This window comes from Homo sapiens, chromosome 10, assembly GCF_000001405.40.
Source record: "Homo sapiens chromosome 10, GRCh38.p14 Primary Assembly".
Classification (NCBI taxonomy): Eukaryota; Metazoa; Chordata; class Mammalia; order Primates; family Hominidae; genus Homo; species Homo sapiens.
This window is the reverse complement of record NC_000010.11, coordinates 17,043,012-17,067,458: the sequence shown is the minus strand read 5'-3', so window position 1 is coordinate 17,067,458 and position 24,447 is coordinate 17,043,012. Positions and strand designations below refer to the sequence as shown.

General features: G+C 36.4%; 1 protein-coding gene across 2 annotated transcripts in view, besides 1 other annotated feature; it reads left to right on the top strand.

The window, feature by feature from the left end:
• Positions 1-24,447, top strand: part of CUBN (cubilin) — a 305,846-nt gene that overhangs the window by 62,353 nt on the left and 219,046 nt on the right. For both annotated transcript variants that reach the window (NM_001081.4, XM_011519708.3), the window contains exons 22-26: positions 1,821-1,951; positions 19,856-20,045; positions 21,365-21,525; positions 22,271-22,452; positions 23,476-23,632. In NM_001081.4, coding sequence (NP_001072.2) covers positions 1,821-1,951; positions 19,856-20,045; positions 21,365-21,525; positions 22,271-22,452; positions 23,476-23,632 — 821 coding nt within the window. The remainder of the gene's footprint in view (positions 1-1,820; positions 1,952-19,855; positions 20,046-21,364; positions 21,526-22,270; positions 22,453-23,475; positions 23,633-24,447) is intronic.
• Positions 4,007-5,206: an enhancer, noted in NCBI's record as "MED14-independent group 3 enhancer chr10:17104252-17105451 (GRCh37/hg19 assembly coordinates)". NCBI's record gives its function as "activates an origin of replication core promoter dependent on BRD2, BRD4, P300/CBP and CDK7 cofactors, and independent of MED14, by STARR-seq in HCT116 cells {active_cell/tissue: HCT116}" and the evidence as "EXISTENCE:reporter gene assay evidence [ECO:0000049][PMID:35650434]".

Here is a 24,447-nt window from a genome sequence, read left to right as displayed (position 1 = left end):
TTGGAAAGTTCCTATTACTATATATTCAAGTTCACTCATCTTTTCTTATGCAATGTCTAATCTGCTATTAACTTTACCAAGTGTATTTTTCATCTTAGATATTGTAGTTTTCATTTTAGAAGTTCAATTTGAGTCATTTTATATGTAGTCCATGTCTCTACTTTACACATGAATTTTTTTTCTCTAGCTTAAAAAATCTGTGAGATATAGTTGTAGCTATTTTAATGACTTTATCTACTAATTCAGACATTTGGATTGTTTCCTGCTATGGTTTTATAGATTGATTTTTCCTCTCTTTCTGAGTTATACTTTCCCACGTCTTTTCATGTCTGGGTAATATTCAGTGGGATACCAGACATTTTCAATTTTATGTTTTTGGCTGCTGGACATTGTCATATTCCTGTAAGTATTCATGAGCGTTGTTCTGGAAAGCAGTTAAGCTACTTGGAAACAGGTTGATCCATTTCAGTTTTGCCTTTAAACTCATTTGTTTCCTGTCTCTGAAGGTTTGTTGTCCTACATTGCTTGATATCCAGTGTTTTGAGAGCCATTGTTTTATACGTTTTTGTCCAGGATTTTTGTTGTTTCAGGTGCAAAGTTAAATCTAGCCTGTTATTACATTTCTGTTGGAAATGGAAATCTTTTGATATTTTAAAATGTCTTTATCTTGCATTTTATTTTCTTTATTTCTCATTCATGTTTTAAATATCCTTCTTATCCTAATCTTTCATCTTTTTAACTTTCTTCTTTTTCTTTTTTGGGAAGGTACTTAACACATCACCACTGCAAAATACAGAACGTTTGCTGAATGGCATAAACTATAATGATCTTCCCCAAATTTCATATACATGGGCATATACGAAGGCATTTAAAATATCAATTAGTTCACCTACCTTTATTTTGATGAAGATATTAAATTTTTTTTCACACTGCAATGGTATTATACACCAAATTTTCTTTCTTTTTCTCCTTTAGCAATTGACGTATCCATTTCCCGTACTCAACATTTCCTCTCTTTTTGGTTTCTATATTTGTTTTCTTTATCATTTCTTTTGGTTAATTTTACCAAGTGTGCTTTGATTTGAGATTCCTATTTTATTGTCACTTCTTCCTACAGGTATTTCTCCAGATAAAAGCTCATGGCATTCTGTCTTTTATCACAACTCTCTTTTTAACATTAATAGAATAGTTTTTCTGAGCTAAACTGCTTTTGTTCAGCAGAAACATGGCATGGCTGAATCATCACTCTTATCTCTTTATAAGTGAGCTGTTTAAGGACAATAGATTCCCTCTATAGGGGTTACGATTGTAGGCACTGTTCTAAGTGCTTTATATACAGGGTATTAACTCATCACATTCTCAAAACAACTCTATGAAGTAGGTACTGTCATCATTCCCATTTTAGGGATGAGGAAGGCAAGGCACAGGGATTGAGTGATCTATGAGTTTAGATTAGAGAGATGACTCTATGATTTTATGATATATTGTTTCCCTTTGTTGTATAAGTTTATTACATTTCTATTAAAAAGTGTATTAATATGCTATATGGCAATCTAGTGTAGCTTTTATTAAACTTCTCATACATGACAACTCACATAGCCAGTCACATACCTAAAACCATTTCAGGGATATAATCATGAACGGGACAATCTTTCGTAAGTTTGCAAATCTTTTTTGCCTGAAATATATTTGTGTTTTAAGGTTGATGAGAGGTAGAGAACAAAACCTATTATTATATTTACATGTCCAAATTTTTGTTACATCATTTTCAGTATACCAAACTAAAATACACACATCTGTCCTTTCTTGGTTTGGAATAGATACTGTGGAAAGTCGATCCCGCCATCTCTCACAAGCAGTGGTAACTCATTGATGCTGGTGTTTGTGACTGACTCCGACCTCGCTTATGAAGGCTTCTTAATAAACTATGAAGCAATCAGTGCAGCAACAGGTAACAAAACAGCATTGCATACTCGGTTTTATTGACTCCATTGCAAAACAGTGCTAATAGCTAAAACACAATGAGAATACATCATCCGCAAACCTGTGGCACACAATGAGAGCTATATTTAGAATAAAGGGTAGTGACTTAAATACCTTCCTTATTAAAAGTAGTGACTAGATAAGAATATTGTGTCAATATTAAATCTTCTAATGTTGGTAATTGTACTGTGGTTTTGTTAAAAGAACGTTTTTTCTTCCCTTAGGAACAATACACTGAAGTTTTCAGACGGTAAAGAAATATAATGTCTCCAAAGTACTCTGAATTGGCTGAGATAATAAGTGTGAATATTTGTGTGTCTGTGCATGTGTGTGTGGGGGGGGGGGGAGAGAGAGAGAGAAATGATAAAGTAATGGGAGCAGAATACAAATACATAATAAATCTGGGTAAAAAGAATTCAGGAGCTCATTCTTGCATCTTTTAAAATTCTATCAGAATGAAAAGTTACCAAAGAGACTGAATACTTATGTTAAGAAATTAGAAACAGAATAACAATGTATAAAAATTAGAGACTACCGCATGAAATTCCAGGGAAAGGAATGGAAGATTTCTTGGCAAAATATGCATTTCTCAATTTGACCTAATGAAGTTAAACTTTTCAGCATTTATTCCTTTCATTGTATTTTTCCTATTACTTAATTTCTCATTATTACTATGCCCTTTGCAAATGAAGTATAGGAAACAAATCCCTTTTGCAGGCACAGTCTTTGAGGTAAGATGTGAACCAGAGATGCTCCCAGCCCCAAGAGCCTGTGCATGGGATTGATGAAGGAGTCATATTTCGTTAGGCTCATGTTTCCCTAGGATGTGTTGTTTTTTAGAGACTCTGAGCTTTCCTTTTGCATCATTGTATTAAAGGACCCAAATAACATCCAGCATAGACCCATAGTAGGCATATGGTGACCATGCTTCCAAGCATTTCTCCGCTTTGGGATTACCCCAGCAGCATGGTACAATTCACTGAGCTCCCTCCAGAAAGAACTGGTAGCTTTTCCTATGTTGGGACATGCACCCTGTGACACACTCTGGCATCCTGAGAACCCCAGATGCTTATCTTTTAAAGTCCCCACTCCCTAAAATAAATAAAAGTTTAAACATCTCCCACTCAAAATCTTACCCAATTTCCCATTTATTTCTCCTTCAGAGGGGCTGGCCACTACTCTTCATTTCAGGCAAAACTCTGCAGCAGTTCAAGTTCTATGTTCAAAAGCATGGCTTTAGATTTGCTCCAGAATCCTGAGTGTGAGAGAATCAATCAATACTTTTCTCCCAGGTAGGAACCTCTGCAGGAGCAGTTCATTATCCAGCTCAAGTGCAAGCACATGCGAAATGGAATCCCTGGCAGTTACAATAGGCTATGGTGTGTGATTGACGTATTCACTGGACTTCATTCAGGTGGTTAACATCCAGTGACCAAAATTGGTTTCTTAAGAAATTATAGGGTGCACACAATTTTTCATGCTGTTGTAGTTTTATCTGTCTGGTATGTTTGGCCCCAAAGCACACTGAATATTAGATCAGGATTTGGAGCAAGTCACTTGAACTCTCTAGGCCACAGTTTTCTCATCTGTAAAATTAAGGAATTGGATTTGGTAATCTTCGAGAGATGACTTCTGGCTTTAATCATCTATGAACATAATTTTAATTTGGTGCATGAATAAACTGGCTGTATCTTAGATAACATATAATACAGGCAGGGCCTCCTGAAAATGTGGAAATCTTTGTAATGATATGCAAAGTAAGACATACCTTTGTAAAACAATTCTATTACCATCCTAGCTTGTAAGGCAATATTTTGTGCAGAAAGAACCCAGAGCAGTTAAAATAATTGGGCAGGGAGGATATTAGATTTTAATTCTAAAAGTTTTCAGAAAGATAAGATACACGTAAAATAAAAATGAGTCAGGAAAAGAGATAGAAGCAAACTGGACAGGAAAGGAAACTATAAAGAAAGAGAGAAGAAAAAGCAAGCAATAAAAGTGAAGGGGAGACGATGTTTTCATAGAAACTCAAAAGATTCTCCAGCTGGCTTCCCTGTGTGATAATCATTACTTTGGCCTCTATTTGGTCTGCATAAGGCTGAAATCACAGACGAGGGAGTGTTTGCTTTCTGTCCCTGGGCTGAGCCCGGCTGGTCACTGTGCCCGCTTGTTGTTGGATGAACTCATAGGTCTGACTAACACAGTCAAGCCATTCTAAATAGCAATCAGATGACGAGATCCAGGAAGACACAACACACCTTCTGTTTATAATTCTGGAGCCTGTCACAGTTTCCCATAGATCAAGACCTGAGAGATCGGCTCTCATGCATTGCTGAGGGGGGGTCCTGCAGCATTTTTTAGGGAAGGGCTGGTGTCAGGAGACTGAGCTGGTGTTGGGCTGGTGACACCAGGTGGTGGGCTAGTACTTTAAGGCAGTGGCTAGACCTAGAAGGCAGCCAGAGTCAGAGTGAGCTGCTGGTGTGGAAACACAGAGATGCTAGGACTCATTCTTTTCAGGTGTCATCGTATGTTGGATATTTTCTGCAGAATAAAATAGCATCAGGGAAAAGCATCAAGGGAAGCTCAGTCATTTGCCCTCATCTTACTTTATTGTTCTAACAGAAGTTATTTCCAGAGCAGTAATGTTGGTATTTGGTTGTTGATTTCTAGCTCCTCAGCCCAACAGGTGTGAGTTTGCCTGCTGAAGTCTTTCTTGTCTTCATCTGATAAAGGTTAAGTTTCCGGATTTGAGTTCAGATACTTTTCCATCTGTAGTTTGTGCCATGTGGCTATGATGTCAGCCCCAAAATATGTGTTTGGGAGAAAAAAGATTGGTTTCTTGTGATTACTGGGACTTCCTCCCTTGTTACTTTGTTTCTGCCTTTATCCAGATGTGCCTGGGAAAACAGAAAGAAAAGAACTAACAAGTACAGGTTTAACAGGTTAAAACTCTTACGAAGTTCTTAGAAACTACAAGACTAAGCTTTAATTTAACGTATTAGATTTTGCTCATTCAAACTACAAAATATTTGAATCCTGAGAGACTATAATTGACTAATGTTATCAATTTAAAGTAAAATTTTATATTCTATTAACATGTATTGCATATACATTAATATATAATCCTGCTAAGAGGGAACTTTAAAAGTATAAACAGGGACAGATAAATGTACCGGATTCATTTTCAACTTTAATATTAGAGGAAAACCTATGTAACATCTAGTCCAGTGCTTTTCAAACTGCAATTCATGACTCATTCGTGAGTCATGAAATTAATTTATTCGGTTGCTACTTGTGATTGCTAAAAGTATGGAGTAGGATAGAAAGGAATAGGAGAGAAAGTATCAGAGTTTATCATACAAAGTAAGGTGCCGCTTCATGAGAACTGTTTGTAGTATCTCCGCGCATGGGTGGCTAACGTAAATGTATTTTTTAGGGTATGTCAAGAAAGTTTGAAGCACAAATCTATTCCAGTTACCTTAATTTTTAAATGAGGGAGATAGAAGTCTAGGATGTTGAATTTATCCTCCCAAGAATACATAGCTGATTGGTTTGAAAGTCAGACTAAACAACTGAGTCCCGTCTTAGAATCCATTGCTTTTGCCATGTCTAGGTTAGCTCTTAGAAACGCTCTAAATGAACTGCATATAACAGCTAGTAACATTTAATTCAGGGCTATCATCAAACTGTGGTGGATTTTTCATATTTCCTGCAAAGCGAAAACCTTCACAATTGTCCAGGGAAATGGCCAAGGATGATCCCAACAACAACAACACAGGATTAGAGATGAGCCCTACTGGGCTTTCTTGGCCTCCCTCCTTCCCAGGGCAGGGTTCCCACCTACTCATCAGTGGGTGGTTAGTGCTGTTTTTTATCAGTGATCCTGGAATGAGCTCAGAAGAGGCATCTAGCAGTGCAAAGTTAAGAAATGATGACAAACATGCCCAAAGAGGCCTTCTTTACACTAAACGGGTAAAGAGAGTTCTGTTTCTATTTTAAAACTTCAGTTTGGGAGTGTAGTGTTCTCAAATTCTAGTGTTCATAAGGAATTTGAGATGGGGGATTTTCTTGCTATAAATTCAGGCATCTGGGCCCCACCCAGAAATTCTGATTAAAATAGGTCTAGGGTGCTTGTTCGCCAAGCAATTCAAGGGGTTCTAATGAAACTTTGTAGTTTATCAAGGACTCTGAAAGTCAAGCCTTAGCATGTGAATTGCTGTAGAATTACAAGGGAGATACAATAGTGGATTGGACTGTAACTGCTCATGATGGAAAGTACTATTCATGACACAGGGAAAGGGGATGCTGTAGGGAGGTCAGAAGTCTTGGTCCTACTCTCAGCCTTGATACTAATTAGGAATACTTTTGTTTGTTTGTTTTTGGGTTTTTTTTGTTGTTGTTTTTGTTGTTTGTTGGTTTGTTTTTTGAGATGGAGTTTCACTCTTGTTGCCCAGGCTGGAGTGCAATGGCAATATCTCAGCTCACTGCAACCTCTGCCTCCTAGGTTCAAGTGATTCTCCTGCCTCAGCCTCCCAAGTAGCTGGGATTACAGGCATGGTCACCATGCCTGGCTAATTTTGTATTTTTAGTAGAGACAGGGTTTCACCGTGTTGGTCAGGCTGGTCCTGAACTCCTGACCTCAGGTGATCCCCCCGCCTCAGCCTCCCAAAGTGCTGTTATTACAGGCATGAGCCACCGCACCCAGCCATAATTTGGAATACTTTGGACAACTCACAAGCCTCTCTGATTATTTCTATCGACCTTGAATTCTGTATTCTTTGCTATGAGAGATTCAGATATTTTCCCTCTGGAAAAGGTGTTGTAGTAAGTCGATTCGTCTTTTAAAGATTTACTTTCTTACTGGCTAGTGTTTTCTCATAATTTTGTATGTACAGGTGTCCCAGCACTTCTCTGCTCAGTTCGTTTATCTTGTTTGTTATATTTCTTACTCCTTAGAATAAAAATGCAACAAAATGCTTAATCATGATATTCTGAGTTCCCTACTTGTCTTCATCCTTAAATTGACATTTCCTGTGTAGAAAAACCAGGGATTGTGGCCAGGCAGGGTGGCTTATGCCTGTAATCCCAGCACTTTGGGAGGCTGAGGCAGTCGGATCACCTGAGATCGGGAGTTCGAGACCAGCCTGACCAACATGGAGAAACCCAGTTTCTACTAAAAATACAAAATTAGCCAGGCGTGGTGGCTCATGCCTGTAATCCCAGCCACTTGGGAGGCTGAGGCAGGAGAATTGCTTGAACCTGGGAGGCGGAGGTTGCGGTGAGAGAAAATCGCACCACTGCACTCCAGCCTGGGCAACAAGAGCGAAACTCCATGAAAAAAAAAAGAAAAAGAAAAGAAAAACCAGGGATTGTTAAAGAGAATAGGATTTGGAAAGAGGGAACTTGGGTTCATATTTTATCTTGGCCATGTCTGAAGTTAAGTGTCTTTTAGAATTTAATCTCCAGGAACCTGAGATCTCTCATCTACACCTCTCTAAAAAGTGTGGTGATAATGCCTGGCTGTTTTGCAAAGTTGAGGAAGACAAAATGAGACATTCAATGTGAAAATTACATTAGAGTTGTAAAGGACCATGACTTTGCCAGATATAAAATATGATTCTCAATATCCAAGGACAATTTTACAATAGCTACTTTGCTTATTTCTATATGAATCTGCACTGGTCATCTGAGAGGGAAAAGAAAAAGCAATGACCATGACCGCCTAGCAGAAAATTGTAGCAAAATGTTGAGTTTGATTGAGAAGGCTTCTTCTTTCTTAAGGGAGAAACTGAACCTGTAATTATATCTTCCCTTGGGTCTTCACTTTGAAGGATGCTAAACCAAATATGTCTGTGGAAGCAGATGATGGCTCCTGGGTTAGCTGTTTATTTAGCACATTCCTAGAATATCAGAGGTCATATGGATTCATTCAGAAACCAAACATTTCATAAGTGATTTCAGAAAGCATAGCCTAAAGATTGAGCCTCAATGTAATTGGATAGTCACATAAATCATCCCATAATGCAAAGCAGGAAGGAGCTGGAGCAGTTCCCCATAATCTAGAGTCTCCCTATGAGATGCATTCCTCTCTCCAGAGGATCAGCTTATCCTATTTCTGTGGCTCAAATTTTATGGGACTGATATCATTGTTGCTTTGTGGTTTGGAAGGTTATAGATGTTTCTCATTTTCCCCTTTGATAATGAGCCAAGTCCTGTGTTACAAAAACTTATTTGAAAATGTTTAGTGAAGGCAAAGATACATTGTGAGTTTTAGAAAAGTCTAGTTTTGTGATTTTTGTAATGGTCCACAGAAGGCATTTGTATGTTTTTTCATTTCTTTCTTTACATTTTTTTTTTTTGAGGTTGGTCAGAGAGAAAAATATGTGAGTTTTGCCAACAGTTGTCTTTGATCCTCAGAGATGTGCTTTTCCATTGCTAGTTCAGTTGAATTTAGGGGATAGGAAAAATGTACTTTCATTTTTCATTTCTTTGTAAATGTTCTTAGACCATAATAAAAGGCTAAACTGATATTGGATATGAATTTTCCTTTGGCAATACAAGATAAAATAAAAGGCATAGATACATTTTTATCTTTGCATTTTGTATTGATGTAATAATAAGCATCATGCCAACACATAAATATCCTTGTATGGAAACACATTCTAATTTAATCATTTGTGCTTTGTTGAAAATCACAAGAGGAAACCAAAACTTAGTATTGATATTTTTCAGTATTACTATTATTCTAGAAGGAGCCATTTATATTGTCAAGGGAAGAAATGTAAACATCTATAGAGTTCAGTGATAGTTAAGAGGGGTTTTTAATCTTTCAAGAAATAGATGCATTAAGTTCAGAGAATAGTAATTTTTCTCTCTATGAAATTTGAATCTCATAAAACTACCATCAGGTTTTAAGATTAAATATCCTATTGTTTAATACGTGTAGCAGGGGTCCCTTCAAATATGATGTTTTATTTCTCTATTTCAATTTTATGTATTCTTTATTAGATATCTGAATTATTTATTGGACTTTCTCTAGAGAGTGCAACCTGTCTGTGCACAGAACTTTCAAGCTTTTAACATAATATGGATTTTTCCCTGTAATTTCAGTAAATTTATCCATAATTTTCAGAATTGTGTACACCCATTTAACTACCTCTCCATTCAAGCTATCGAATACTTCTGTCCCTCCAGAAGGGATCCTCGTGTTCCTTTTATTAGTTTCCTCAACAACCTCTATGTCAGCAAACACACACCTGGTTTCTACCAATATAGAATAGTTTTAACTGTGCAAAAGGCAGCTGTGAACAGGAATACATAGTATGTATTCTTTTGTGTCTGGCTTCTTTTTTTTTTGAGACGGAGTCTCTCTGTCACCCAGGCTGGAGTGCAGTGGCGCGATCTCAGCTCACTGCTACCTCCGCCTCCCAGGTTCAAGCGATTCTCTTGCCTCAGCCTGCCCAGTAGCTGGGATTACAGGTGCGCGCCACCATGCCCGGCTAATTTTTTGTATTTTTAGTAGAGACAGGTTTTCATCATGTTGACCAGGCTGGTCTTGAACTCCTGACTTCTTGATCTGCCCAAATTGGCCTCCCAAAGTGCTGGGATTACAGGCGTGAGCCACCGCACCCGGCTTGGCTTCTTTCATTTGGCATAATGTGTCTGGAAATTTTTCATGTTGCTGTATTCATGTGTTTTTTTCTTTCTATTGCTGACTAGCCTTCCATTGCATCGATATATCATAATTTGATTATCTGTTCACCTGTTGTTAGATAGTTGAGCTTTTTTTTCCCAGTTTTTAGCTATTACAAAAAAAGCTACCATGAACATTGACTTGCAGGTTTTTTGTGGACGTATTCATTCTCTTGCGTAAAATACCTAGGAGTAGAACTTCTGGGTCTCATATGGTAATGATATGTTTAACTTTATAAGAAAGTGCCAAATTGTTTTCCAAAGTGGTTATGCCATTTTATATTCCCACCTATATGATTGACAATTCTGAAATAGGAGTTGGGGCTCCACACCAGACCAGATGGAAGACTGGCTAAAACAGGGAAGAGACAGAAGCACCTCTGCATAAGACATGCCCAACAGCGCCATGACAGTGTGCCATTGCCATGACAACACCCAGAAGTTACCATCCTTTTTCTAGACATTTCCAAATAACTCACCCCTTAATTTGCATGTGGGTGTAAATATGACTGCACAACTGCGCCAAGCTGCTACCCTCAACACGTTGCCTATGGGGTAGCCCTGCTCTGCAGGAGCAGTCACGGAGCTGGAACACTGATACCTCAGTGAAGCTGATTTTTTCTACCACCAGCTCACCCTTGAATTCTTTCCTGGCCAAAGCCCAAAACCTTCCTGGGTGGAGTCCCAATATGGGGGCTTGCCTGCCTTGCAGCAGTTCTTTTCTCCATCTTTCCCAATCCTTAATATTGCCAATCTTTTCATTTTTAGCCACTGGCAGTTGCATAGCAGTATCTGATGGTTTTATTTTGCATTTCCCTGATGACTAATAGTGCTGAGTCCTTTTCACGTGCTTTTTGACAATTCATTTATTTTCTTTTGTGAGGTGTTCATTAAAACCATATGGTTCATTTTTGTTTGTTTCTTATTAATGAGTCATATGTTGTATATTCTGCATACAAATACGTCCTTTGCCAGATAAATGTATTGCAAGTATTTTCTTCCAGTGTGTGGCTAAACTTTTCTTTTCCTTATGGTATCCTTTGAAGAACAGAAGTTCAATATATCCTTTTATCCCTTTTATGGTTAGTGCATTTTGTATCTTGTCTGAGAAATATTTCACTACCGAAGTTATCAGGATCTCCCACGTGCATCCTTCTAGAAGTTGTTTTTTTTTTGAGACGGAGTCTCACTCTGTCGCCCAGGCTGGAGTCCGGTGGTGCGATCTCGGCTCACTGCAAGCTCCGACTCCCGGGTTCACGCCATTCTCTTGCCTCAGCCTCCCGAGTAGCTGGGACTGCAGGCGCCCGCCACCATGCCCAGGTAATTTTTTGTATTTTTAGTAGAGACGGGTTTCACCGTGTTAGCCAAGATGGTCTCGATATCCTGACCTTGTGATCCGCCCGCCTCGTCTTCCCAAAGTGCTGGAATTACAGGCGTGAGCCACCGCACCCGGCTCCTTCTAGAAGTTTTATAGTTTGAGATTTTATACGTGTTCTATGATCCATTTTGCATCAATTTTTCTATATGGTGTGAGTTATGTGTCCAAGTGTGTTTAGCAAATGGTATTTAATTGTTCAAGCACCATTTATTGAAAAGATTCTCCTTCACCCCCACTCCCACTGAATTGCTTTTGCATTTTTGTTGAAAATCACCTGCCTGTGTTCATGTGTAGGTCTGCTTCTGGAATCTCTATTTCATCACACTGCTGTACATATTTACCCCTTTAACAATAGAACATTATATTACTTAATGTTACATAATTTCATATTGTATATTAAAATCTGGAAGTATAAAACCTCTAGATTGGTACTTATTTTTCAAAATTGTTTGGGCTATCCTAGATTTTTTGTGTCTCCATATTCATTTTAGAATCAGCTTTTCAATATATAAAAAAACTTGAGAATTTGATTGAGATTGCATTGAATTTACAGACCAATTTGGGGATAAAGGTCATCTTAAATTCAGCCTTCCAATCCATGAACATATTTTACCTCTCCATTTATTCAGATCTTCCTTCATTTCCTTCAGCAATAAAGTTTTCAGTGTAGAGTTTGTGCATGTTTCTATTAAACTTGTTATCAAGTGTTTCGTGTTTTTATGCTATTATAAAATGACATGCCATATTATATATGCTATTTTAAAATTTTACTTTCTGGTTGTTTGGCTGATATATGCAACATAAATGGATTTTTGTATACATATCTTGTATTCTGCAGTCTTGTTTAACTCAGTTATTAGTTCTAATGACTTAAATAAATCCTTTAGTATATACTACATAGATGACAATAACTGTGAATAAGTTAAATAAGTTTTATTTTTTCCCTTCTCTCTCTCTGTCCCTCTTTCTCTGTGTATGTGTATTGCTGTGATGGCTAGAACTTTCTGTGCATTCTTGAACAGAAAGGGTGAGGTTGGAATGTTGGCCTTTTTCTTAATCTTGACAGGAAAGCGTTTAGTCCTTTACCACTTAAGTATGATGTTAGCTTTGGATTTTCCATAGATGCCATTCATCAGTTTGTGGAGTTCCCTTCTGGGCATACTTGCTGAGTTTTTATCCTGGATAGGTGTTGAATTTTTCTGCATCTTTTGGTATCTTTCAAAGCTTTTCTTTTTTTATTCTGTTTAGGTGGTAAATTATGTTGATTTAGTTTTCTACTGTCAAACCAATCTTGTGTAATACATCAGAACTCCACCTGGTTCTGATCTATTATAACTTTTACGTGTATTCAGAATTGTTATGCTAAAATTTTCTTATGGATTTTTGCATCAGTGTAAGACATACTGAACTGTAATCTTCCTGAATTTCTTTGTCTGGTTTGGTATAGGAGTAATATTGGTCTTGTTAGTTAGAAAATATCTTCTCCTCTATTTTCTGAGTTTGTGGAATATAAACAATTTCTTAATTGTTTGATACAATTCCACCAGTGAAATTATTTGAGCCTGTAGTTTTCTTTGTAGGAAGGTTTTATATTACAAATTTAATTTCTTCAATTAATAGAGACTATTAAAGCTTTCTATTTCATTTTGAGTCAGTTATGGGAATTTTGAAAGAATTCATCTATTTTATGTATGTTGTCAAATATATTTGCACAGTTTTTTGTAATGGTGTCTTTCTATTATTTTAATGTCTGAAGATTCTATAGTGACATCCCCTCTTCATTCCTGAAAATGGTAATTTGTGTTTTTTTTCTTTTTTCTTTGATCAGTTTTGGTAGAATTCTATCAATTTTAATAATTTTCTCAAAGAACCAATTTTTGACATTGTTTATTTTCTCTATTGCTATTGCATTTTCCATTTAATTGATTTCTGTTCTTATATTATTTCATTTAATTCTTGCCTTAGTTAGCTTTTCTCTAGTTTCTTTAGATAAAAATTAACTACAGATAGATAGATATAGATATAGCCTTTAAGCACTACTTCACTTCACCTCCCCAGTTTTTTTTTTTTTTTTGAGACGGAGTTTCACTCTCGTTGCCCAGGCTGGAGTGCAGTGGTGCGATCTCAGCTCACTGCAACCTCCGCCTCCTGGTTTCAAGTGATTCTCCTGCCTCAGCCTCCCAAGTAGCTGGGATTACAGGCGCTCGCCACCATGCCTGGTTAATTTTTGTATTTTTGGTAGAGACGGGGTTTCACCATATTGGTCACCCTGGTCTTGAACTCCTGACCACGTAATCTGCCCACCTTGGCCTCCCAAAGTGCTAGGATTACAGGAGTGAGCCACTGCGCCCAGCCACCTCCCAAATTTTAATGTTTTATTTTCAGTAACTTCCAGTTCAAAATATTTTCCAATTATCTTGTGATTTCTTCTTTGTTCTATGGATTATTTGCAAATGTATTATTTAACTTTCAAATATTTGCAGGTTTTCTAGATGTCTTATTGATTTATAATTTCAGTTTTATTGTGGTTAAATGATATACTTTCTAAGTTTTCAATTGTTTAAAATTTATGGAGAATTGTGTTACAGCCCTGCATGTGGTCTATGCTGCTGAATGTTTCATGTATGCTTGAAAAACTGTGTTGTCTGCAGTTATTAAGTGTAGTGCTCTCTGTCAATTGGCTTTAAGTCGGCTGAGTGTTGGTCAGATTTTCTATACCCCTATTCATCTTTATCTGTTTCATTTTCGGTTACTGAGAGAAAGGTGTTAAAATCTTCAACTCTAATCATGGTTTTATTTTTTTCTTTAATTTTTGCCTTTTCACTTTCCTTCGTGTATTTTGAAACTATTACTTCATGCATGCACATTTAGGATTATTATGTTTTACTGATAAATTGTCCCCTTTGTCATTATGAAATGTCTTTCTATAAATCTAATAATATTATCCTTCTTGAAGTCACTTTTGTTTGATATTATTTCAGTGATTTCAGCTTTCTTATATTTACTGTTCATATGGTATATCTTTTTTCATTCTTTTAGTTACAACTTAGTTTCACCATTATATATAATGGCATCATTATATATAATGTGCATGCATAGTAAAAAACATATAATTGGGTCCTGCTTTTTCTGTGTTTTAGTTGAAGTATTTAGACCATTTACAACTAATGTAATTATTTTTATGGTTGAATTTAACATACCATTATGGTAGTTGTTTTCCATTCATCTCTTTTTGTGTTGCCATTATTCTGTCTTCATTTTGGTTTACAGAATATTATTAGTATTCCATTCTATTTCCTTCATTGTCTTTTTAATGATACCTTTTTTTTTGTATTTTTACATTAGGTCTAAAAATATACTCCTTAACTTATAAGCAAGTTTTCTTAGAGTTAATATGCAGCTGCTTTACATTTCATACCTTCCAATTCATACCTGACACTTCATATTACACAAATTCCCCTTTATACTTCACAAGTGAAATACTGTCATACTAGTGTAATTCCATGTGCCTATCCTTCTGTGTGCTGTTTTAGTTATATCTTTTACTTCTCTCTGTGTTATAAATTCACCTTACTATTATTTTTGCTTTAAATCACTAATTCTCTCTCTCTCTCTCTCTTTTTTTTTTTTTTTTTTTTTTTTTTTTGAGACTGAGTCTCAGTCTGTTGCCCAGGCTGGAGTGCAGTGGCAAGCTCCCAGCTCACTGCAACCTCCACCTTCCGGGTTTCAGCAATTCTCGTGCCTCAGCCTCCCGAGTAGCTGGGACTACAGGCATGCACCAGCACGCCTGGCTAATTTTTGTATTTTTTTTAGTAGAGACAGGGTTTCACCATGTTGGCCAGGCTGGTCTCGGACTCCTGACCTCAGGTGATCTGCCCACCTCGGCCTCCCAAAGTGCTGGGATTGCAGGCATGAGCCACCGCACCCAGCCTACTTCTCTCTATATTATAAATTCACCTTACTATTATTTTTGCTTTAAATCACTAATTCTCTTTTAAGGAGATAATGAAAAGAAAGCCTATCATTTATATTTATACAATGATTTATCATTTCCAGTGTTCTTCATTCCTTCTTGGAGATATTTTCTGTTTGGTATCATTTTCCTTTGGCCCAATGGATATTATTATTTCATACAGTACAAGTCTTCCAGTGACAAATTATGTCAGCTTCTGTTTGTCTAAAAATGTTACACTCTCGTTTTTTAAAAAAGTAGTTTTGCTGGATATTTAAACCTGTTTTCCCCATCTCAACATTTTAAAGATGTATTCCATTTTCTTCTTGCCTCCATTGCTTCTGTTTAGAAGCCAGCTGTCATCCTTATCATGATGTCCCTGTATGTGATGTGGCTTCCCCCCCGCCCCAACTGGCTTCTGTGTTTTCCTTGTTTCTGTTTTCTAATAGATTCACTCTGACATGTCCAAGTGTAGTTTTCTTTTATTTCTCCTGTTTAGTATTGACTGAACTCCTATATCTTACTAGACATTTTTCATAAAATTTAGGAGAATTTTAGCCGCTATTTCCTTCTCCTTTTTTGGCCCATTTTTATTACCTTCTTCTTCTGGTTCTCTAATTGTATGTGTGTTAACCTATTTGTTGTTTTTTCTTTGTTTTTTTAAATATCTGTCCATTTTCCTGGAGTTCTTTTTTCTTTGTTCTTTAGATTAAATTATGTCTATTAATACATATTAAAGTTTACTGACCTTTTTTTCTTCTGCCTACAGTTTACTGTTAAACTTGTCATGAAGTTTTAATTTGAATTAGTGTAATTTTAAGTTATATAATTTTCATGGTTCCTTTTAATAATTTTCTCCCTTTTTGGGCCAAAATTTCATATCTGTTTACTTTTTAAGGCTTTTTCTTTAAGTCTTTGCACATATTTTTAATGGCTGCTTTAAAGTCTTTCTCTTTTAAATCTAACACCTGGATCATCTTTGAATCACAAGATGACATTTTTTTTCTCAACTATGACCACATTTTTCTTGACTACTGATGACATTTCTTTTCTTGATTTGATTCATATTTTCTCATTTTTTGTTTTGTTTTTTTAAGACGGACTCTCACTCTGTCGCCAGGCTGGAGTGCAGTGGCATGATCTCGGCTCACCGCAAGCTCCACCTCCCAGGTTCAAGCGATCCTCCTGCCTTAGCCTCCTGAGTAGCTGGGACTACAGGCGCCCACCACCACACCCAGCTAATTTTTTGTATTTTTAGTAGAGATGGTGTTTCACCATGTTGGCCAGGATGGTCTTGATCTCTTGACCTCATGATCCACCTGCCTTGACCTCCTAAAGTGCTGGGATTACAGGTGTGAGCCACTGCACCTGGCCCATATTTTCTCTCTTTTTTTTTAATATTTGTAATAGTTTTGGGTTTTATAGTGGACATGATAGATTGGGACATGATATGGGGGTCCCATATCATGTGGGTAAATTATGTGTTGTAGACACTCTGTATTATCTTATCTTCCTCTGAAGCTAGTTTGATATCTAGCTGATTACTTTGTATCTGCATAGGTTTATATCTGTACTTGCTAAAGAATATTTGTGAACATCCCTGTTTCTCGAGCCCCTCTAACTTGCTAGGTCTCTACCTCCAACTTCTATGATTCCTGCAGGTCTTGTTAAGACTTATCCTTTGGCCCGGAAGTTCTAGAGAGCCCTACTCTTGGCCATGGTCTTCACTTGTAAGATATGGCCTTTTAGGTGTCTCATTTGAATGCCTGAGGTGTTAAGGAGGTATCCCCATTCTGGAATGGGAGAGAACTCTAAATGATCTTGTTTCCGCTTCCAGCCTAGTAGCAGCTCCTGTCTGACATGCTTTCTGAAGTCTCACCTTATGTATTCTCAGCCCAGGCTTAGCTAAGAATCCATGGGAAGCCCTACTCAGATGCCCGGCTTTCCTCTCTATATACTTCTTCTTCTCTGTAGAATTTCCATATAGTTCCAGCTGCTTTGGCAACTCTAATCTTTGCATCATCAGCTCAGTAGGACTGTCATTCACTACTTGGACTTCAGCTCCCTTCTGTGGTCAGGAAATTCTGCACAGGTAGAAAGCCAAGGAAATCAAGAGTCGTACATCATGAGTTTCCTTTCTGTCAAGAATCACAATCTTGTACTGCAGATTGTCCAATATTTTGTTCAGTTTTACAGTTCTTAAGGAGAGCAGCTAGTTTAGTACAGTTGCTTGTCATAGCTGGAATTAAAAAAATATTAAAGAACCTCAGCCAACCAGGATAGAGTACAGGAAGAAGAGAGAGAGAGGAAAAATGAGGTGAGAAAAATAGAAGTCGTAGGATTGGAGTTTAGGGGTAGTTTGAAAGAGAAGAACTGAATGGAGTAGGGAGAGTGGGAGGAACTTAGATGCATGTACCAGTCCCCTTCGTTTCCAACACATCATGTAATAATATTTCAACAACTACTTACTGGGACCTCATCTGGGCCAGGTACTACAGTGATAGTAAATAATGGTTAATAAAGTCTTAGTCATATCCCAAGGTTTAGTAAGGTAAATATACTCACATAAAAACAATTACAAAATATGTTTGGGGTTCAAATTGCTATTTGCATAAAATTTTATTATGCTAAATAAATTAATTCTGCTTGGTTGGGAAAGGTTTCAGCCAACCTTAAATGATGGGTAAGAGTGTATATGTTAAACTGTGTATTGGCAGGGGTTGTTGGGTGGCGGGTTAGGTAAAGGGTAAAGCATTTCAGACAAAGTGAATGGTGTAAATATCATTGGAACACATCAAGAACTGTAGTTTACTTTTGTGCCAGCAACAGAAAAGAAGCTTGGTGAGTAAATCAAAATTTCAGTACAGATTAACAGACTCCCACCAGTTGTTCCAGAATAATCACATTCATGTAAGCAAGATAAAGGGAAACTACCCATCATTATTGCCCCAAAATGTCATTAATTCAGGTTCCTCCACCTGAGACCTAATCACACTTAACATTCTCCCACAGACAAGTTGCATTAGAGATATGCAAGACAATTGTATTTCCCCTCCAGGAGTACAGTGAGTAAGCAAGAACAAGTGACGACAGATAATTTCCTCTAAATATTTGATTTACTGGCCAAAGCTCTCTGTGTGTGGGTCAATGAGTCTGTCTGTTCTGTCAACTCAGGGATACTGGGTCATTGCTTTCATTTGATGTCCTTTTTTTAGCTTAGTAAGTTTCATTACTGGGTCTGAAATATTAATAGACCAATGCTATACTCCTCCCCGCTCTCTTTATCCCTCTTTTCTGCCTTTCCTGTTGTCTCCCTTCTGTCTGTCTTATTCCCTTCCTCTCTACCTTCCTTTCCACTTGTGGAAATATTTTGGCAGACTACAGAGAAGCATACTTTTCTATACTTTTGGAGTTAAACATAATCTTTGGTGTTAAATGTCACTGTGAATTCCTTCAATAAAGTAAAGCCTTGATTGCTTGCTGTTTAAAATAGAGTAAAATCAAATATCTGGCGAATGCCCATTCCTTTGAGAGCTACACACAGATAGTAGAACCTATAATATGTTCTATGCATCTCTATGTTTTCAATACCAATGATTCTTCTTTTCTGAGCTTGGGGATTATATAGCAGCAACTAGGGAAACAGCATAACTAAACATCCTTATTATTATTATTATTATTTTGACTCACAATGAAACACAATAGTTTATTGTATCCAAAACCTTTCAGTAGGAGACCTCTGTCTACTCCTATACCCTAGATTTAGGTTATGGCTGGATGCAATTGGAAATACATTAAAAATGCATTTATTTGCTGGGCATGGTGGTGCATGCTTGTAGTCCCAGCTGCTGGGGAGGCTGAGACAGGAGAATTGCTTGAACTCGGGGGGCAGAGGTTGCAGTGAGCCAAGATCCCGCCACTCCACTCCAGCCTTGGCAACAGAGCAAGACCCTGTCTCAAAAGCAAAAACAAAAACAAAAGCATTCAAACCAGATTTTCTTTGTAAAATATTTCAGATTTGGAGGGCATAGGAGATTGAGTGGGTGGTAATAAACACAGAATCGACTGAATAGGTAACGTTAAAACTGTTAAACTAGAAAAGTTTTTAAAGAAGATATTTATTTAGGACTTCAAAATTGTCCAGGTACTATGCTAAATGTTTTATAAATGACCTAATGTCTTCCTTATAAAGTAAATGACCACCATTTACTGAGTGCATATCATGGGCTAAGCCCTTGTAATGCATTATCTTTAACTCTTAAACCTTCAGTCAAAGGTAGCAATCCTCTTCATTTGCGAGATGTGAGAACTAAGGCTTAGAGAAGTACAGTAACTCTCCCAAGGCTGCAGAGCTTGACAGTGTTTGAGAGGGTTTTCATTCGAGATCACTCTGATCCTTGAGCCTGGGCCCTTATTCTTCACCCCGTGGTGGAGGTACCTGCTTTGTCATTTCTCATAAATGCATGCTTTGGTGAAAACCACTTTAAAGGGAGCTTATGAAAAGGCAAGACTGAATTATTTCTAGGCCCTCCTGCAGTGGATCCTAATTTTTAATGTTTATGGTAATTTGCAAGGATTAGAAAAACGTAACACTTTCAAGACTTAAAGGGTTGTTTACTCAAGATATATATAACAATTTCCTCTCCATAGCTTAGATTTAGTGTTGGTAATTATTTTGTCTTTAAGATTACAAAAACTTTGTTTCAGAATGAAGTCTTTATTTGCACATTCCAGAATGGCTTATTGAAAATCAAGTATAGGCACAAATTAATGAAATACATATTACTGGATGTATTATAAACATATCAATATTTTCTATTTTCTCTCTTATGGTCTGTTTCTGTTCACAGCATGTTTGCAAGACTACACAGATGATTTGGGGACATTCACTTCTCCAAACTTCCCCAATAATTATCCCAACAACTGGGAATGCATTTATCGGATCACAGTGAGAACTGGCCAACTGATTGCAGTGCACTTCACAAACTTCTCCTTGGAGGAAGCCATTGGAAACTATTATACAGATTTTCTGGAAATCAGGTCAGCACTTTTATTTATTTCATTATAATCTTTTCATTATTTATTCTCATTAATAATCTTTCCTAGGAAGATTAAGGAAAAAAATATGGAAATTCTCTGCAAAGCTCCCTGCTGTGCACTTTCTTGCAAGAAATAAAGTTTGTCATTTGGAGCCTGACTTAGGAGAAATACAGGAATTGCATAAGATTCTGTGGTTATTTTGAAGTGATTATTTTATTGGAAATACTTGAAAATAAACTCCAGATTTTATGTGGGCAAAGAAACAGATGTGCTACTACTCTGAAATGATGTAACTTGCTACTGTTGAATACCTACTTTAATTATGTAAAATCGATGTAAATTTTAGGCTGTTTGCTGTTCATTTAATCTAATTATATTATAAAATGATGGCAGGATAGCAATCTTAAAGTTTTCACAAAGTTTTCATGTTCAGGTAATAAAAGTCTAGGCTTGTGAATTTCAGTACAAGGCATTATTCTTTCATTATCATCATTTTGAAAGAATGTGTTTAAAAAGTTATATTTGCAGTAAAAGTAAGTTAGCTTATATGTTACTATCTCTCCATGCCACTACTTTGAGTTAAATTAGGCTAATCATTCTGGTGGGCATCTATATCAAATGTTTTATTTGGGATTTTAAATCTGGAATCTTATGTATTATAAATGTTATTCTATAATATAAAGTAAGGTATTAAAATAATAAATCATAATTGGACCCTATCGTGCTAAAATGACATAATTTTCTTAATTTACAGCAGTTACTCACTGGACTTTGATGTTGAATAAATCCCTTTTTTGTTGTTTGTTTCAAAAAGCTACAGATTATAAACTAGAATTAAGGCCCCAGAAGTTTTTAGGAAAATGCTATTTCCAGAATTTTGCTAAGTATATCAAATATGATATATTACATTTCAAAAATTTCCAAATCAGAAGGAAAACGTTGAAAGATTCTCTGTAAAATACAGCAGTATGTTTATATAGTTAATAGTATAGTTTCTTTATCGTGTTTTCTCTGACACATTTGCCAGAGGCTTTATTCGAAAGGGTGAAGATTAAACATATTCTCTCAGTTTGTGATTGGTTATATAAAACACCATACCAGCTATGAATGATGGTTATTCTTTGTTAAGTCATTCAAATATGATTTTTAAAAATTTAAAAGTGAAAATCGTGTTTTTTAGAGTAAGTGTAGTGTTTGAGAGAAATTACTTCATCCAATAAACTGCTAATGTTTGCAATCCCAAAGTTCAAATTATGTTAAATGTTTATACAGTAATATTGTCAGTAACCCAATAAATTTTAATTTCTGTATTCTGCCAGAGATGGAGGCTATGAAAAATCACCATTGCTGGGAATATTCTATGGCTCAAATCTACCCCCAACAATCATCTCTCATAGTAACAAACTATGGTTAAAATTTAAGAGTGACCAAATAGACACAAGGTCTGGATTCTCAGCTTACTGGGATGGGTCATCAACAGGTAAATAGCAAAGAGCTGTCTTTTACTGGAGAAGCCAATCTGATTGGTTTCTTGATTCTGGGATTGTCATGCTCTGTCCCTCACTTGTCCATGTTTGCCCAGCTGTATTTAAACTTCAATATTGCAAATAATTTTAAATTAACAGCAGCCATTTCTTTTTAACAGACAAAGGGAGAAAGTTCTAGTTTCTTTTTATCAATAAATAAGAATCCTGGTTAGAATAAGGAAATTGCATTAATGGAAATTGGGGCTGGGTGCTGTGGCTCACTCCTGTACTCACAAACACTTTGGGAGGCCGAGGCAGGGGGATCACCTGAGGTCAGGAGTTTGAAACCAGCCTGGCCAACATAGTCTCTACTAAACATAGTCTCTACTGGCCAACCCCGTCTCTACTAAAAATACAAAAATTAGCTGGACGTGGTGGCAGGTGCCTATAATCTCAGCTACTAGGGAGGCTGAGGCAGGAGAATCGCTTGAACCTAGGAGGTGGAAATTGCAGTGAGTCAAGATCATGCCGTTGCATTCCAGCCTGAGTGACCCAGTGAGACTCCATCTCAAAAAAAAAAAAAAAAATAGAAAAAAATAAAAATTGGATTTTTAGGCTATAACTACTCTTTCATGATGCCATTTTGCTGTGCAATTTGATTTAAAGGATAGTAGAATGGCACCAGTTTAATGCAGACAAAAAGATTCAATTTCCCCAGAAGGAAAGGGGTGTGTGTCATTCCACTTCTTTCTCCTGTAGGTTGCGGGGGTAATCTCACCACTTCAAGCGGCACGTTCATATCTCCCAACTACCCGATGCCCTATTACCACAGCTCTGAATGCTACTGGTGGTTGAAATCTAGCCACGGCAGCGCATTTGAACTGGAATTCAAAGACTTTCACTTGGAGCATCATCCAAACTGCACTTTAGATTACCTGGCTGTATGTATAATGTTTCCATCATATTGTTCCCTGCTCCCATCTCACCCAACGCACAATGCACTTATTTTTATTTTCGAGATTCAGGAAAGGGGAGCATCTAAACCGAACATCCATATAAAAATTCAAACAAAATAAAAACATAAAAGAAATTTGGTGAAAGTGACCATCTTCGAAGTACTCAATGGCTCGATACACTAAGTATTTAAAATATATTGATAGACTATTAAGATATGGTGAAAATCTCCTGAAAGGGATTACAGGATTTATTATAATCATTATTTATGTTTTTCCACATATGCATTGAAAAATCACAATTTAGAAGACAGTTTTGGCGAAGTAGAGAAGATAATATGAGTCATTCCACTAGGATTTTTCACAGTACAGCAATTCACCATTGTTCATTTGTTAAAAATCTAAATAAAAATGTATTGAAGTGTCATGAATCATAAACTATGGAATCAAAAAACAAGGAGGACAGTTGACATCAGCTGTGGCATTACAATATGTATTGGGCTTTCATTTTCAATATTCAGCCTTCAGTGTAAGCTCACACGCTTATTACTGCTGCACATGTCCACAGCTTAATTGCCTGAGTTTATGGCCTGAGTTTATAAATACCTAAATATAATTTATAAGGTTATTTTATTTCATGGCTATTCTTTTGTGATGTCATATATATAACAAAAAATATATATTTATTATATATAAAGATATATTTATTTTATATATATTTATGTTTACATATAAATATTTAATACATATATAAATATATGTATTTAATGCAAATATAAACATATGTGTTGAATACATATATAAAAATATATGTATTAAATAAATTTATTTTATAAATATATTATATATAATGAATATTTATAATATTTTATATATAATTACATATATTTATTTATAATATATATACATAATAAATATATATATTTTTTCTTCCTCACTTCTTCTGGATTATAGTCCTTTACATAATGTTTATAGTCTCAACCATCTAACATTCAAAATATTTTCTTAAAGGTATATGATGGCCCAAGTAGCAACTCTCATCTGCTAACTCAGCTTTGTGGGGATGAGAAACCCCCTCTTATTCGTTCTAGTGGAGACAGCATGTTTATAAAACTGAGGACAGATGAAGGTCAGCAAGGACGTGGCTTCAAGGCTGAATACCGGCAGAGTAAGTGTGAATACCGGCAGAGTAAGTGTGTATACTGGCAGAGTAAGTGTGAATACCAGCAGAGTAAGTGTGAATACTGGCAGAGTAAGTATGTATACTCGCTGTTCAGTGCCTAGAGTGGGCCTTCAAATTCTTGAAACAAACTGAAATAAGTGTAACGCATTGGTGTGAGCAATTGAACTTCATCTTAGTTTCTTCTGTGAATCGTTTAACTCCATTTGAGGGAGAAATACGTATTAAATTTAATCTCATATAACTAAAACATCTGGCAAACTATAGAAACTTAGAAGAGTATTTAATATGCTGAGAGAGTTGCAATTCAGTGAAAGATCAGTGTACCAGACTAATGACTAATAGCTTTTCATTTGCCTCACACATTGCAATCTTGCAGTGTACATTATATTATTCCAATGTACATAGTATTCTATCACACTAGTCTCTACCTTAAAAAGTACCTTAATTTTATTAGGGAAAGCTGTGGTCCATGTGAGTCATGCATGGAATAAGCATGTTCTTTACAGTAGAAAAATCTGGCCATTGTACAGATGCCATTTTAAATCTACTTTTCCCAGATAGCAACATGATGGAATTAAAGGAACACTGAGCAAAATGTCAAGGGGCCTGGGGTTTGTTCTGGCTCCTAACCCTTGAGAAAGTCACTTTTCTTTGTGGTCCCATGGTTTCTTCTTTTAGAAAAGGAGATTAAATTAGATGGTCTCTAAACCTGCCTTCTAGCTCTAGAATTAAATGCTTTTTGAAGTTAGTTCCAAAATGGACATTCAAGAAAACAATATTTTCTTGAATTTGTTATTTGA